General features: G+C 38.4%; 1 protein-coding gene across 58 annotated transcripts in view, besides 1 other annotated feature; it reads right to left on the bottom strand.

Annotated features, from left to right (window-relative positions):
- Window positions 1-16,626, bottom strand: part of ELAVL2 (ELAV like RNA binding protein 2) — a 160,498-nt gene that overhangs the window by 51,078 nt on the left and 92,794 nt on the right. The window lies entirely within an intron of this gene.
- Window positions 5,994-6,493: an enhancer, noted in NCBI's record as "H3K4me1 hESC enhancer chr9:23747173-23747672 (GRCh37/hg19 assembly coordinates)". NCBI's record gives its function as "activates a minimal SCP1, AML or CMV promoter by ChIP-STARR-seq in primed H9 embryonic stem cells {active_cell/tissue: H9 hESC(primed)}" and the evidence as "EXISTENCE:reporter gene assay evidence [ECO:0000049][PMID:30033119]".

A 16,626-nucleotide genomic window follows, 5' to 3' on the forward strand; every position in this document is an offset into this window, starting at 1 on the left:
GGAACATGGAGAAGAACAAATTTGTAAAGAAGTATAAAAGAGACAAGCCAAAAGCATACTACGCTGAACGTAAGGCATCTATGTAGAGGTAAGCAAACCGACCCCCCATCCTGGAAGCAAGACTGGCCCATGTGAAGGTTTACAGCAGACAAACTGCAGGATGCACCAAGCACTGAGGCACAATGAGGAAGGAGGCACACGAGGGACCCAGGGACAGTCACCTTAGTGGCCTGGTATAATCACTGAGCAGATGCAGATGTAAGACTGTAACTAGGGACCTCAGTGTTAGAAATCACCCACATTCTTTTTCCTTCTTCCCTCCCCTCTCAACTCTTTATTCCTTCCCTCTCTAGACACTCCCCCTTAGGCAATCCATGCTTATCTACTTAGGCTCTTAAGAAATCCCACAGGCTAATCTTGAAACAAACCAGGAACAGAGTCCCCACTGCAAAATCCTCATGATTAGGAGGAGTCATAATTAGTCCACCACCACTGAGCCAAAGTCAAGATAATGCCAATTAGACCTTCAGACACCTGAGAGAGCCACTGAACAAGACACACAGATCCTGCACCACTTCTGCACGTCTCCCATACCTTTCTCCCTTTGAAAGCCCTACGGTAAATTTTTAAATTGAAGATGGTACTTTAGAATACTAGTTTGCCATCTTCTCAGTTTGCTGGCTCCCATTAAAAATGCTTTTCCTTCCACCAATCCTTGCCTCTTGTGTTCTGGCTTTCAAGTGGCAAGCAGCTGAACCTGGGTTCGGTTACAGGCCTTCTAGAGTAATGGCCAGGATTGAAACCTAGCAACTCCTTGTGTCCCAGGAGGATCCATACTTCCTTGGCATGATAACATCTGGCCTTTGTAAAAGTAACTAGAAGGGCAAGAAACCTTTTGAACCATAATACCCAGAGATTAATACAACACACCAACTCAGCAGCCTTGAAAGTATTCTTGCACTATAAAACTAACAGATATGGATAACCCCAACCACCAAAAAGCTAAACCCAAGATGACTACATCAGGCAGGGCTTACGATTTTCTGAGACCTCCTTTACACAGCTGTAAAAACAAGTACCTCAATCCTCTTTCTGCCCCCCGACCAAGCTAAGCTGCTATTATGAGTGGACAAAGTGTTAATAACTACCACAGTAAATGGGGAAAAACTACTGCAAGTGTTAACAAACCTTATTTTTAACTGAGTAGCAACTGCAAAATTACACATGCCTTGTGAATGCACGTACATACCTACGTCCTTCGCATACAATATGGTGACATCAAGTTAGAAAAGGAGTGAAAGAGGGAGGGAAGCTGAGTCATTAAGAAGGGAATATTGGGTAGCATCACATGATCAGGTGTTTCAATAAAAACATATTTCACCTTATGTGTACTGATCATAAAGTATCTGCTATAGACCGATATGTACAACCCTTCCACCGGGGGGAAAATGTCCACTGTAATTCCTTTTATATCAAAAAGAAAGAGCAGAATTAAATTAGAGGTATTTTTAGCAAAGACAAAGGAAGTAAATTTCCAAAGGACATCCATCGTCCCCAGTCGACACAAGGATTAAGTATAAATAACGTGATTTTTCTTCTCTTTGTACAGGACATGTTGCTTAGTTTATAGTTAATGAAGAGGTAGTTAATCAAGAGGGTAGGAGGAACATTTTTCTTTCTTTCCTCTAAACTTAAAATAGTCACACACAGCACTGATTTTTACATGCTTAGGAAAAATTCCAAAACAGACTGATGGTGTTTGGGCTGGTGGGGGTATAAATGCTGAGTATAAAGGAAACCTATTTAAATACTACAGACACAGCTTCACAAACCTCAAGAACACTCTCTCTGAAGCAATAAAGAAAAGGAATCCTAATGGAACACAGTCCCCAGAGGAAATTGAGCTGTACATGGTTAAAGTTGTAAAGGCTATGGGTCAGATGGGAACCATGGCTACGAATTAAGTCAAAGAGGTACCCTGACAGAAATAAGTATCAATTTTGTTTTTGCTCAGGGACAGCTTATGCTACAGCAAACCACTCTGAGACCACAGGGCAACTTGCCCACCAATTAACAGATGGCTCCTAAAGAGAAGTACAAAATGGTGCAGCTCCTACGATTGCCACATTCATATCACACATAAGCATTTCTTCCCAAATCACCTCATCCAAAAGTTGAAGTGATTAGCTATTGTAATCCTCCAAATTTAAAATTCACGGATACTTTGAGGAAGATTTTGCTAAAAAGATTTTACCTAGACAATGATTCATTAGGACACAAAAGTAATGTGGCACCATCCACATCAGCATGGTATAGTAAACGCATTATCCTGCCGAATGAGCAGAGCACAGAGGCTTGTCTTGTCTTTTACCACTGACTTTAAAGTATATTAAAAACGAACTATCTAAATCATATACCCAGCAACTTAGTACATCTGACCATTGCTGCTAATTCTGGATACATCTTTCCTATGAAACAGGAAAAACCTAAACACAAAAATAATTTTAACATATTACCATTTTATCATCTCAAGTACTCTTAAATGTATAACAGGGTAGAGGGTTAAAAAAATCTTATTCAACAACACTTCAATTTTAATTCATCTTAAAAACTTTTAATGTGATGCTTTCTTTAATCTGCTGTTACTGAAGTTACTCGATTTGCTTATTCACATATCTGAGACCCACTCTTGGGGAAGGCGCTATGTTTTTATGGCACCAGATTAAACAATATGAAGGACCATCTGATGTGGGAAGTAACTTCTATACACAGAGCTTCTCAGCTATTTGGGCCACATTACATGCCCACTTGGCAAACACATTTTAAGATTAAGGCTAAGACAAGTGGATCAGAAGAATCCATCTTATTACCACAAAGGGGTCCCTAAGGAAAAGGAGGTTAGGAGTTTAAGGCCTCCAGCTAACTAGCCTTATGAATTTGAGATTGGGATCTCATCTGTGGGAAAAGAAACTGCACTAAAGGTACTCTCTGATGCTCGCCCCCACCTATTATTCTACCGTCTCCACCTTAAGTTTCACAAATAGATTCTGATGTGCGTGTTAGAATCACTCTTGTTAAAAGAGGTTCCTACAATGTAGAATGCCATACAAAATGTTAGGTATTCAATTACAAGTACACCACTCGAAGAAATGAATGTTTTACTAAATAACTAGTTTTTCAGCTCATTCCAATATTCAATAGCCTATGCTGTCAAGAGTTTTCCTATTTTGTTGCTGAAAACTTCTTCCTTGCTATTTCTAATGAAGGAATAAAATAGTTATATATTATAAACTAATCTCCTTTATTCAGGGAAAAACTTTAAATATGTATGCTGCCAGATCACTTACTAGCCCCTGTACCCAAACAGAATATAACCTATTAAGTGCTTATTCTAGTTATCCTAATTGACAACAACATTATTAAGGATTCTACTTAGATTATAAACTTTATTTTTCTCAAGCAAGAGTACTTTCTAGCAAGAAAACATATATATACTGAAATGGATCTTAACACAAAAGCCTACTATACTATTTTGGGCTTCTTTATCCTTCTCGCGCACCCCCCACGAAAAAAAATAAAAATAAAAATAATAATTAAATCTAATAGTAAAGGAATTAGAACTTTTACCTCATTATTCCCTACAAAGCTAATTTGTTCCTTCATTTGCACTCTCTGTCATTGTAATCTATGACTTAAAGAAAATGAAGCAAAAAAATTCTTTTAAAAATAAACAAACCAAAAAAACAGGCTGGGCACAGTGGCTCCCAAATACCAGCACTTCGGGAGTCTGAGGCTAGAGGATCACTTAAGCTCAGGAGCTCAAGACTAGCCTAGGCAACAATAGGGAGAACCTGTCTCTACAAAATATATAAATTAGCTGGGCATAATGGCACATGTCTGCGGTCCCAGCTACTCGGGAGGCCAAGGTGGGAAGATCACTTGAGCTTGGGAGCTTGAGGCTTCAGTGAGCTGTGATCACACCACCACACTCCATCCTGGGCAGTGACAGAGCAAGACTCTGTCTCAAGAAACAAATAAAATACAAATCAAATAACCAGGAACTATGGTAGATTTTTACAATCCCCAAAGAAGAATGTTTTCTGAATGTATAATCTACAGCCAAATTAAGATATTATACAAAGATTTTCTGTGTAATCCTCTATAACCTGGTATTATCTTGGCCAGGTCATTCCCCTGCCCTACCCACCACCATCTTTTCACTTTAAGCTACCTGAACAGATATCCCATTCAAATCCTTTAGGTGTACACAAACATCTTAATAGGTTGCAAAGAAGAACACAAAATTGACTAGATTCTTTTTTGAACAATTACATTTACAATTCACCATCAATGACTTACTTGCTGGGAAAAAAAACATACTGTAATAAAGGTAAAACTAGACTTGCATCTTTTCAAGGAGAACCAAAGACTGTCCAAAAACCTAATGATGACATATACTACTTATCCCATAGGACACAGAAATATAATGCCTGTAAGCATACACATGTCCCTACATGGCTGGAAACCAAAAGCGTTAACTGAAGGGTTTTAAAGAAATGACCACTAAATAAGCAGAGGAGATAAATGTAGGTCATTCAGAGGCAAATCTGTTTTACCACAAGATATATGGCTCTCCTTAGCTACTAAAAGCAATGGGAGTCACCAAACATTACTGACCTCTGAAGACTAAAAGCTAGAGATGAAACATTCAAAAAGACCTGCTGTGTGAATGCTACTGCTAGTAGTCATCTCAGTCATTCTTCAGGTTGTTCTTGCTCACACTCAGTGAGCAAAGTAGTGCCCAAGAAACATAATCAAAAGGGGGAGGAAGTCACAAGAGATGACTTGGAAGGGAGGATCGGTATCTTCACTGCACCTACTATTTTCAAAATTAAATTCAAACTTTGCTTTCCTCCAACACTAACAAAGTGACACAAATATGAGTAAATTGTTTGAAAGGCACTGACAAGTGACTTTATTTACAAAATATGCATACATACATACACACCTCTCAAAACAAACTCCTTTACCAATAGCTATGGCAAGTTCACAACAGGGGCTTCTAACCAATTACAAAAGTTATTCTCTTATAGGTCAAATTGAGACCAATACAAAATTAATAAGCTTACTTTTGAGTTAAAAAACACTGATAGAAAAAGATAAAAAATATGAATTACATAAATATTGTTTCAATGGAGTTCTAGATTGTACACTGACTCTACCTAACTGGCACAAAGAAACACACTGGAAGAGTCACAGAGCGTTTTCAGAATGAGTAAGGGCTGGGAACCAGACTTCAAGGAGTTAAGTAGTAGGAAGTAAAACTACCCCCACCTCAGAACAGAGAGGTGAGTCATCATCACCATCTTATCCTTCTATCACTTCCTTGAGACCCTAGGTCCTGAGATAAAATGCCTAATTGACTTTACTTCGGTTCCTTACTGGCTGCTTGCCTATAGGCAGGCAGAAAGAGAGAGGACCCACCCAACTGGCTTCTGGAATTAGCTTTTTCCCATCAGCAATATACTAAGAAAGAGAATTCCCCAATACAGAAGGACCCTAATGAAATGTAAGACTGAGACAAGTTTGTCTTGGATCCACGAACATCCTTAGAAGTCTTTCCATGTAAACTGAAAAAGAAAAAAAAAAAAAAAAGCCTCTCTCATTTCTGTTCAAATAAATGACTGCATCCAATATTAATCATCAAATGAAATAATCAACAAATCATTAGTGGACCAGACTATACTTTACATCTTCGCTCAACAAAACAAGCACCAATTTAGAACATCCTGCATTCCACCTTCACAGTATGACAATTCCCTCCTTCTCTACCTCCCTTGAACCATGAGGTATACCACAAGAAGTTCCACTAGCCGAGTACAGTAGTCCTCCACCCCCTACCTTATCCTTGGGGGTTACAAGACCCTCAGTGGATAACTGAAACCACAGATAGTACTGAATCCAACATAATATACACTACTTTTTTTTTTCCGATCTGTTAAGATGGATTCTAAGTGATTAAAGGACAGGGAACATGTACCAGCCATGGATAATGTGGACAAAGGGATGATTCACATCCTGGGCAGGAAGGTGCAAAATTTAATCACGATACTCTGAATGGTGAGCAACTCAAAACTTATGGATTGTTTATTTCTGGGATTTTCCATTTAATATTTTAACACTATGGTTGACCACCAGTTAACTAAACTGCAGAAAGCGAAACTGTTGATAATGGGAGGACTACGGTATTTCATGGCACAGGCTCTCTTCAACAGATAGTCACCACTTGAAATCAAGAACTTAACACTGGCTGATATTCTCCAGCACACCCAAAGCTCAGACAAAGACTACTGAACAACTGGTTAAGCTTGAGTCATCTTTAATCAAGACAAGACCTTACAGCTCCAGAGGTAGAAGACCTTCCTCATCTCAATCAGAGGCTTTTGGAAACTCCCTACAAACATGAGTGCAAAGTAGGCAGTGGGGATAAGTCTACACAAAGCTTGCATTAAGACTTACCCATGAAGTATTCACCTTTTTCATTATTTTAAACTCTTACAACCCAGGGGAGGCTTTCTGTTAAGCCCCAACACAGGAAATTGCTTTTCAGTTGTCAATAGCCAACGTCTGAAAATAAATCCAGTCACTAAGTGTGGAATGATGTACTTGCAGCCAACATGCATTTGGCTGATGCCAACAGAGAAGGCAGGAGGCCAAGATATAAGACCTAAATTTTTTTTTTTAAAAAAAGGACTGTTCTACTCAGTAACAGAATCTGAAATAATGCAAAGGCAGAAATAGGCCACAAACCACCTGCCTCTCTAGCTTCAACATACATCAGCATCTGTCTCCCAAGGTTGCTTCAGAAAGATATTTAAGTTTTCTCTAACTACAATAATTGTTCCAGTGGTCTAAAAAAAAGAAATGGCTCTGTCCTGTGGGTTTCTGGTTGGGTGGTTGACTGTTATATTGATGGGGGGCTTCCTTGAGGGGTAGGGGGAAAGAGTACTAGGGAAGGGGGAGAAAAAAATGGAAGAACTAAAACTACAGAAGAGAATTTCTAACTCGTCGCTCTTTGACTCTGATTGAGGAATGGCTTTCTGCCAAGATTTCCTTCAAGTGCTCAGCAGAGAATGAAGTGAGGTAACGAGAAGTAGTCTGGGGATGTTACACACTGTGTCCTGTGTCCCAAGACCCCACACGGATGTTTGTCCCTGGATGCTCTGACTCTCTGGGAGAAAAGAGTAGAAAAGTATGAAGGCAGAGAAGACTTCCAGGGAGCAAAACTACTTGGGTTCTTCTTTCTGACCCACTGTACATACACCAACTGCCTCTTCCTCCAGGTAACTTGCCAAGATGGGGAGTGATAAGAGATTGAAGGCAATTTTCAAAAGAATAAAACAAGCTTGAAACCAGGCAGAACAACTGCAAAGGGGGTAAGATGAAGTCCCTGCAAGTAGTCAGCAATCTGGCAAAATATTGCACAAATTCAGTATTTTAATTGGACGTTTCTTTTACGGGGAATGTGGCATGAACTAAATTTGAAGCCAGGCTACTTATTTCAGGGGGAGGGGTTGGTCCCTAAAGCCACTTGGAGAGGAAGAGAAATAAAACATACAGAAGAGTCTACAGCCCAAGGGGAAAAAAACTAGTATCTCCTGAAAACAATTATCATAATTTACTTTCAAAATACTTTGGTATATCAAATGTTGTATGATTTCATTTATATGGGGTACCGAGAATAGGCAAATTCATAGAGACACAGAAAATATAATGGTTACCAAAGGCTGGGAGCAAAGGAGGTGGGTGAGGAGTTACTGTTTGATGGTTACAGAGTTTCTATCTGGGATGATGACAAGGTACTGGAAATGGATAAGGGTGACGGCTGCATAATACTGTGAATGTGCTTAATGTCACTGAACTGTAAACTTGAAAAGGTTCAAATGATAAATTTTATGTTATATTTTGCCACAATAAAAACATTTCTTTTTAAAGTTTAGAATTAATCTGATGACACGTGTGCACCAGCCATTTAAGCTTTAATTCTGGGTGGTCATCTAACATACTATCATTAATGCACAATCCAGGATTAGTTAACTAGTATAATACAAGTAGGCTAAAATTCAAGTGACTAGTGTAAGCCTACATACTATCCATACCTAAATCAACAACCAATTCTCTGCTGATTCACCTAATGGATGTCAAAATAGGGTTTTGTTCTGTAAGCCAGTTATTTGTTAATTAGCATAACGAGTGTTAGAAATGGAGTCTTACCGGTAAAATTAAAGGAGTTCAAGATACGCAGATGGGCTAAATTAGTTTAGAGACACTTCCCACCTTCGTATAAACAGGGCACAAAATCCAAGGTGGCATAATCCAAGGTGGTTATATCTTTATGGAGAGAACCCCTAAATGTTAAATGGTCCTGGGTTTCAGTCTTTGTTTAAAGGGATTTCTTTTTGCATGATGCAAAGTGAGGGTGCAGAACGTGACTTTTGGGATATTGTTAGCCTCCGGTGAACATTTCATTTAAAGTGTGTTCAAAGCACTTAAAAAAGAAGAGAGAAGTGGGACTTTACCAAGCTTTCAGAAAAGGCTTCTCCATCAATTTGGTCCTGCTTGCTAGATAGAGGTTTCTATGTGTGGTGGGATCTGGCCTGAGACCTTCTTTCATTATAATCTATAGAGCAACTAACGCTCACCCTTCCTCCTTTGGTGCCTACTAACAACTACGCAAAATTACCTAAGAGCTGTTATTCACTATACTAACAGGTCCATTTAATAAACCCAGTCTCAAGGAGTCACTGGTCATGAACACAGTGGCCTCCAAGGGTACTGTCTTAAAAAAGGAAAAAAAAAAAAAAGACTCTTTAAAAGTCGGTTGTCCAACTATAAAGGCTAGGAAAGAATATTAGACATCCTCCTTACTTTGATGGCTATATCCAAATATATTGTTTTCTATAAGCATTCAGAGAACTAAAATATCAAATAGAGTAAGAAACTAACCCCAGAAGATTCCATATTCTACTTTTAAGTAGCACATCAGGACTAGCTTTGTATGTTCTAGAGCTGGGGATATAATGGAATGTTATCACGCCTTTTTGCAAAGGCTCCCAATTTCCAGCACTTAAAAAAATACACATATTGATATAAAACACAGTAACAAATCGGTATTAACAATTCTGTATTTTAATCCTATTCCAATATGTATAAAAGGGCTTACCCCCATAAAAAAAGGACAACAAATAATAAAGAATATAAAGGTCTAAAAACAAACCTGGTATAACATTGTTAGATTTTAAGATATTAGATCCCAAATCATTCTACTTGAGAAGGTAGTACACTGTCTGCACCATATAATGGCAAAATCACTTGGCACCATGTTTAAAAAGAGCTAACCTAATACTCAGGTTCACAAAAGAAAAAAAAGACAATTTTAGAGGCAGGATTTGGGAAGTCATTTAGGAGAGCCCTTGTCTACATGAGAAGATGTCAATTGATTTGATACACCATCAGTCTCTCATTTATATTCAAAATGTTTAGATACATTTAAAGTAGAATAAGAGCAAACTACAATTCATTTAAATGGAATGAAAAAAGCTCCCATGGCTTACTTAGTACCAGGGTTAGGAAAAAGGATTCGTACGACAGTACCCTTGGAGGCAACTCCTTAAGACTGGATTTAAAGCATTAAAATGTGAGGAAATAAAACTGTTCTCTCAGGCTCCAGTGACCTTAAAAACAGTGCAGTGATTCTGATTTACCAGTTTACACACAGCTATGCCTCCCTTAAACTTTACTTTAAAAGGAGGATTTGACTTTCTCAGTATTAAGTCCAAAGGTCAAACAGGTTGTAAAGAGTCAAGGGCCCCATCAGATCTACTCTACAAGGTAATAAACATTCAAGTCTATCATCCCTCACCAAGAAATGCAAATTTTTGTTGAGCTAGAGGATGGGAGTTGGGGGTGGTGGATACAGGACTTGTACGCCATACACATTTTCCCTACAAAATCAAAGCAGTATGTACAAAACAGAGTTCCAACAAAAAGTACAATGATGAGAAAAGAACTCATTAAGAGCTAAAAATAAACTCTAATTCACAATATGCATAAGGATTTAACAAAAAAGGAAAACAAGATGTAAAATTGCATCTGCTAAGTTAACCATACCCTCATGGAAACTGCCCCCTCCCCCATACACACAAACTGAAATCTGTAAAGTCTGTGATGACTGAATGAAGAAATGCTTTAGATGTTTTCAATGAATATTTCAATGGAAAAGAAAACAAAGGGATAGTAATTTTTTTCCTCAGCCTTCTGATCTGCTAACACTGCAGGAATATTAGGTTTTTGAACATCCCAAAACACAGGTCTCTGTATATCTAGACTTGAACATCATCTTTGATAAAATGAGACTATTTAGTATAGTATTTACGTTTTATATTAAACGGATACTCATCTTAAGGAAGATGATGTCAATAAAAGTAAAAATAAGCCGCAGTTGGTTTTTATCTAACCAACACTTCATGGCTCAATTTAACAACTTGCTGACCTTCGAAAGCCCAGTAATAGCTCACTGGAAAGCTCACTTGAGAGCACCTTCATATTTTAAGTCAAGCTAATTCATTCTGAAACATTCACACAATACCACATAGAGCAATAATTCCACACTCCGGTGCTCTAGTTCATAAAGGCTGGTGTAATATCATTAATCATCATTCTGGGCTCCCAAGTCCTGCCTCGCACTTTCTATTCTTACTTTGTTCCACCCCTGGAAAATCAATTATGTTGGTCAAATCACCTAGAAAGCAAAGGATGGAGGATGAGCTTTGCATTCTTCCCACATCATGACAAACTCCAAGAAATCTAGGACAACAGATCTACTTCAAGATGTTTTTCAAAAACTACTTTTTACCTATGGGGGGAAAAACAAAAGTCTGCAACTGTCACGTAACTGAATGGGTATTAACTGGTAAGAAGAGGACAGGAAAGAGAGACAGTACCCCTGTGTGCTAGGTACTTTATGAAAGAAACTGACGTTCAGAGTCAAAAAGCACACACAGGACACAACACAAATTGAGTGGCTAGGCTGGAATTGGAACCCAAGTGTAACAATGTTCTAAGCTAAAAGCTCTAAGATTAGTGTCCAGTAGGCCACCTCCCTAGCAGGAGGAAGCAAAGGTATTTTGATTCAAACTTAATCCCAAGAACTTGATCCCAAACTAAGTAACAAACCTAGTGTACACAGGGGTTTAGTAAATCCTACTACCACTTAAGAAACTTTTTTTTGTTTTTTTTTTTTGAGATAGAGTCTCCCTCTGTCATCCAGGCTGGAGTGCAGTGGCTCACTGCAACCTCCGCCTCCCGGGTTGAAGCGATTCTCCTGTCTCAGCCTCCTGAAGAGCTGGGATTACAGGCACCCAGCACCAAGTCTAGCTAATTTTTGTATTTTTAGTAGAGACGGGGTTTCACCATGTTGGCCAGGCTGGCCTTGATCTCCTGATGTCAGATGATCTGCCCACCTTGGCCTCCCAAAGTGCTGGAATTACAGGCATGAGCCACCATACCCAGCCAAGGAACTCTTATAAACACAGCTTAAATACTTCTGTCTTGCTTTTTTCCCCCTTAAAGGAGGCATAAGGTAAATCTTTGTTCTAATTTAGAACAATACAGAATGATCACCCCTCGATTACATAAAGATGATATATGGTGTCAGAAATTACTGAGTGGAGTCTGAAAAGATGGTTTTAACTGCGAATCTGTTTCTTCACAACACTTAGAGCAGCAAATGCTACTCTGTGATTTACAGCCCCTCAAAAAATATTTGATTACATTTCCCAACACCAATAAAAGGGGCATCCAAGGGTTTTGAAATATTGACAATCTAAAACTTTAAAGAGCCAAAACAAATACCTTAAGGACTAAAACATGCTAATTAAGCCACTGTATAGACCTGACAAATCGAATGACACTCAAATAAAATGCCAGAAAATATCTGTTAAAGTTGACCTTTTGAGCTGGAAAAGCACACTCTGAGGGTTTCCACAGCTCTCAACGTTCAGTAGCAGCAGTGTACTCAGCTGAAAGTCAATTAACTTAGAACAAGCTCAAAAGAAGTTGGCAAATTTTGAAGCACAGTTTTAGCTCCAATAATCAACTATTCTGTTCAGGAATATTTGAAAGGAAATGTTCCAACAGGTACAGAATAAAAGTGCTTCGGTCTATTCTGAATTTAAACAAAGTTAAAAAAAAAATAAAAGGCTGGTGGCCAAAGCTGTGTCATAGTTAAGGTAGTGAAATAGAATGAAAACTGTCAAAAACAGGTTGATTTTGTACTACATCATAAAAATGGGGGGTATAAATCATTTTCATACCAAAGAAACAGAATTTTAAAATTCTATAAACTACAAAAAAAAGAAGCAACAAGTTCATATCACAATTTAACTGTTTTTTATCTTCTAACTGAACTATTTCCATTTTAGTTCACCATCTTCCTCATCGACATTTTCCATCATTCCTACGACAAGCGCTTAAATTGAGAATGGTGTCTCTTCTATACCACCAATCTCCTGATGCAAAGTAAACAAAGACTACCCCCCAGAAAAGGTCTGGAATAGCAAACAGCACACGTGCACTCTTATGCTGAATTATAAAGGGGCAAATGTTACAAGAGAATTTCAACTGTAATTTTATTTTCTATGAATTTGAATATGTTTACAAAGTTTGTGTTTTCTATCAAACCAGCAAAGCAACAAAGAGAAAGGTTACTGAAGACTATTCCTAATCTACTGGTAAGGCAAATACGGCTATTCTAAAAGTTCCTCTGATAAGGGCTAGGAAAGCACAAAATCAAAACTCCTAAACCTCATTTACACCATAGGTTCAACTTTATTTTCCCAGTAAACACTCTAAGACAGCTGTTGGAAAACTGTATAACTGTCTCGTGGGAGTGACACATATTTTTTTTTACATTTTATTCTAACGGAACAAAATACCAAGTAACACAAATATCAATATCAGGAAATCAGAGAAACAAATCTGGATGATTAATGAATTACTAGAGAAGAATATTGTTTCATACTTTTCTGTATCCTCAAATAGATGTTTCTTCATCCTAGCAACTAGCCATTAAAGGCTTCATTACCACAGGTTATCTAAAGAAGCAGCTCTTTGATTTATGAAGAGATGTTAACTGGGAATTAACTTACTGAATGGTGAAAAGGTCCAGATTTGCCACCCCAAAATATTCCACTTTGGCATTAAGTTTTTTTTTTTTATTATTTTTTTGTGAAATGGAGTCTTGCTCTGTCACACAGGCTGAAATGCAAGTGCGGTGGCACGATCTCAGTTCACTGCAACCTCTGCCTCCTGGGTTCAAGCAATTCTCCCACCTCAGCCTTGTGAGTACCTGGGACTACAGGCGTGCAGCACCACCACACCTGGCTAATTTTTCTATTTTCAGTACAATCAGGGTTTCACCATGTTGGCCATGGTTGGTCTTGAATTCCTGACCTCCGGTGATTCGCCTGCATTGGCCTTCCAAAGTGCTGAGAATACAGGCATGAATCACTGCGCCTGGCTGGCATCAAGTATTATTTTAGGCTGAGGAAAATAAGAAGTCAACAGATGCAAGATGAGTTCTCTGCCCTCCCCTTTTCTCCCTAAAAGCAGAGTATAAATTTCCCATGGGAAGATGTCTCTCTGTCCTGTACCAGTTCAGAAGTAAGCGACTCATTACTTGAGACAGTCAACATCAGATTGTTTATGCATACAGTTCTGTATAAACCAACCTTGTTAAAAGTGCCCTTATCTTGTCATTACTTACCCCTACATATTTTCTGAACGCTTCCCCATGATTTCCTATTCCGCAAAGTCCAAACCTTTCCTTTGTTAAAATGGTATATAAGCCCCCCAACCCTGACCACTTTAGTTTTATAATACTTTTCTGTCAACTCCCAAACACAAAATACGAGCAAAAATTGTGTGCCATTTCTCCAATTAATTTCCAAGTCCCCAGGTACTAAACAAAAGAGGACAGAAGTTGTTTTTCCTAACAATGATAAAGAACTGTACTGTATTTGATTTCTTAAAATGTTACAAATTTCTAGTTTCATCATCCTGTAATCTTTCCACTAAACTAATCAAGGCTGACACTGAAAATTGTTCTATAAAAATACCCAGGTTCAAGTAAAAAGTGAACCTAGAAGAATAAATGTTAAAGACTTTCTCCAAAATTTTATATGAAGCTTCTACAGTGATAACACCAAATTTTTTAAATGACTGCAAGACCTTTGGCAAAGAAACAAGATATAATGAAAAAATAATTAAGTTTAAAGATACATCAATGAAGATATAAATAAAGTTTCTCCATTACCTTTTGCCTATGAGAGATGTTCCAAAAATAGAGGTTCCACAAACTTGACACAAATTTCATTTTATACAAACTTGGGCACTAAAATCTAAAAATAGATTCAAATGTACTGTATTCCACAGTTAACGCACTGCGGACCAAAGCATTTACCCCTGTGCAGGCATCTCCTTTCCTACAGACCTAAGAACACACACAACCTTTCTGCCATCTTTCTAATTAAATAGCATACAGAGTTTGCAAAGTGAGGTGTTTATTAAGTTACCACCCACCCAACCACCCTGCTGTTTCCAACTACTGGTCTGCAAGAATCAGAATTCTTGATCTCTTGATACTATGGACATTTCACATGCTCACTGTACAACTGTAACTGACATACAAAATCACATTTTCAAATTAATGTTCATCAAAACAGCTTTGTGTTCACTGTGATTGACTCATAGGAAATAAGTGCTATTAAATTTGAAGGTTCCCATTAGTCTAATAAAATACCACTTATCTGTTTCAATCCTGAGGAGCTAAGATTGTATTTGTTTAAAAAGAAGAGAATCCTATGCCATTAAAATAGTTTGGAAATCACATTATTTTGATAGAATAAAGAAGGATCAAAACTAGCTGTAAAATTCTCAGCAAGCAGAGACACAAGATAAACCTAGCTAAGAACACTCATATTAATAAAAAATATTTTAAGATACTAGCCCTAAGGCGTGCTGGGGCATGGCAGGAGCCTTATCATGCAAGGCACTACCTACTCAGAGGTAATCAACATCTCTTTGGGCCCTCTGGAATTTATATTTGGGTTTTTGTTTTTTCCCCTTTTGTCAAAGTTTCTAGTTAGCAGCTGATGAGGTCAGTACAAGACCTACCTCAAACAACTGAGAGTAATGGTGAAATACTCATTACCTGAGGTCTTCCACCAACTACTCCTCTAGCCATTCTTTTAGAAGAAAGGAAAAATAACAGTGAAAGAACAATCTACCCTGGAGTTTCAAAAACCTAATTACACTTAAACACACACACACACACATGCTCGCACACGTGCTTTCAGCAACATATCAGATCAGTAAGGACACAGCCTAGTGACGTAAACTCAACATGTCTAGTTCTGAAAGCTAGGAATTAACTCAGAGACCAATGCTGAAGAGGGGACAGCACTTTAAACTTAAACTTTCCAAAGAATTAAGTACTGCAATTGTTAACACCTCTTCCATAACGCCCTAAATCTAGAATTCAGGTAAACCTGGAAATCCCTGGTTCAATCTCCCTACAAAATGTTTAAGACATTGATAACTCCTAGCTAACGAGTACCTTCCAGGTCCCCACTACAGATTCTGATTCAGTAGGCCTGGACAGAGCCCAGGACCGTGCATTTCTAGCACTCATTACAAGTGATTCCAATGCGGGAATCCTGTGACCATACTTCATGAGACACAGTCTGATTCCCAAAACTTTTTTGGGCTTCAAGATCACCTGGGAAGCTCTCTGACAACAGATTCCAAAACTCCCTTAGGTGAGTAGGTGAGGATGTAGAGCCAAATTTGGGTACCACCGGGCTAGAATATCAAGTTCACAACCATAGATTATAATGTTTCTAGAGAAGCACAGATGTTCTTGTTCATTTGGTGTATTCGTCAGTCCTTACTGTCAAAAACCTTCCATTCTCCTTCCAGAGAAGACACACTCGCCAGAAGATGCCCTCTGGATAACTCTGTAAAAATCACACATCTCTCTATAAATTCATCAGTTGGCCATTTGCTTCATCTTTAAAGAGTGAGCTCTTGCCTCCAACAAGTGGCAAAGAGGAAACATCCAGGTAAAGCATAAGATAATCAGAATTCTGGTCCCTACTCTACCGCTTAATAGCTCTGTGGCCTTGAACTAGTCATTTCACAAACCTGGGCCTCTCATCACCTATGATGTTTGGGGCAAAGAAGGGAGAGGGTTGGTTAAGGTCACCTCTAGGGCTTTTCTGACTGTAACACTTTATTACTCATTCCTTGCATCATAAAATCCATTTCGTTCATCTAGAATGCAGCATCAGCAGGTGTCAAGGACTCCCAAGTGCATTTAAAAACGCAAAGGGATGGACTAAAGTCAGCTAAGCTGTACAAGCAGCAGAAGCTTCTCATGATGAATGCCTATAGATAGGAAACAGGCTGAAGCATACAGCTGGGCAGAAGCCCAAAGAGACGGACCTGACAAATAACATAATAAATAGAACTTAGTCTAGAGAGAAGATTATTGTATTTGCTACTGAA

This window comes from Homo sapiens, chromosome 9 (assembly GCF_000001405.40).
Source record: "Homo sapiens chromosome 9, GRCh38.p14 Primary Assembly".
In the NCBI taxonomy this organism is placed as follows: Eukaryota; Metazoa; Chordata; class Mammalia; order Primates; family Hominidae; genus Homo; species Homo sapiens.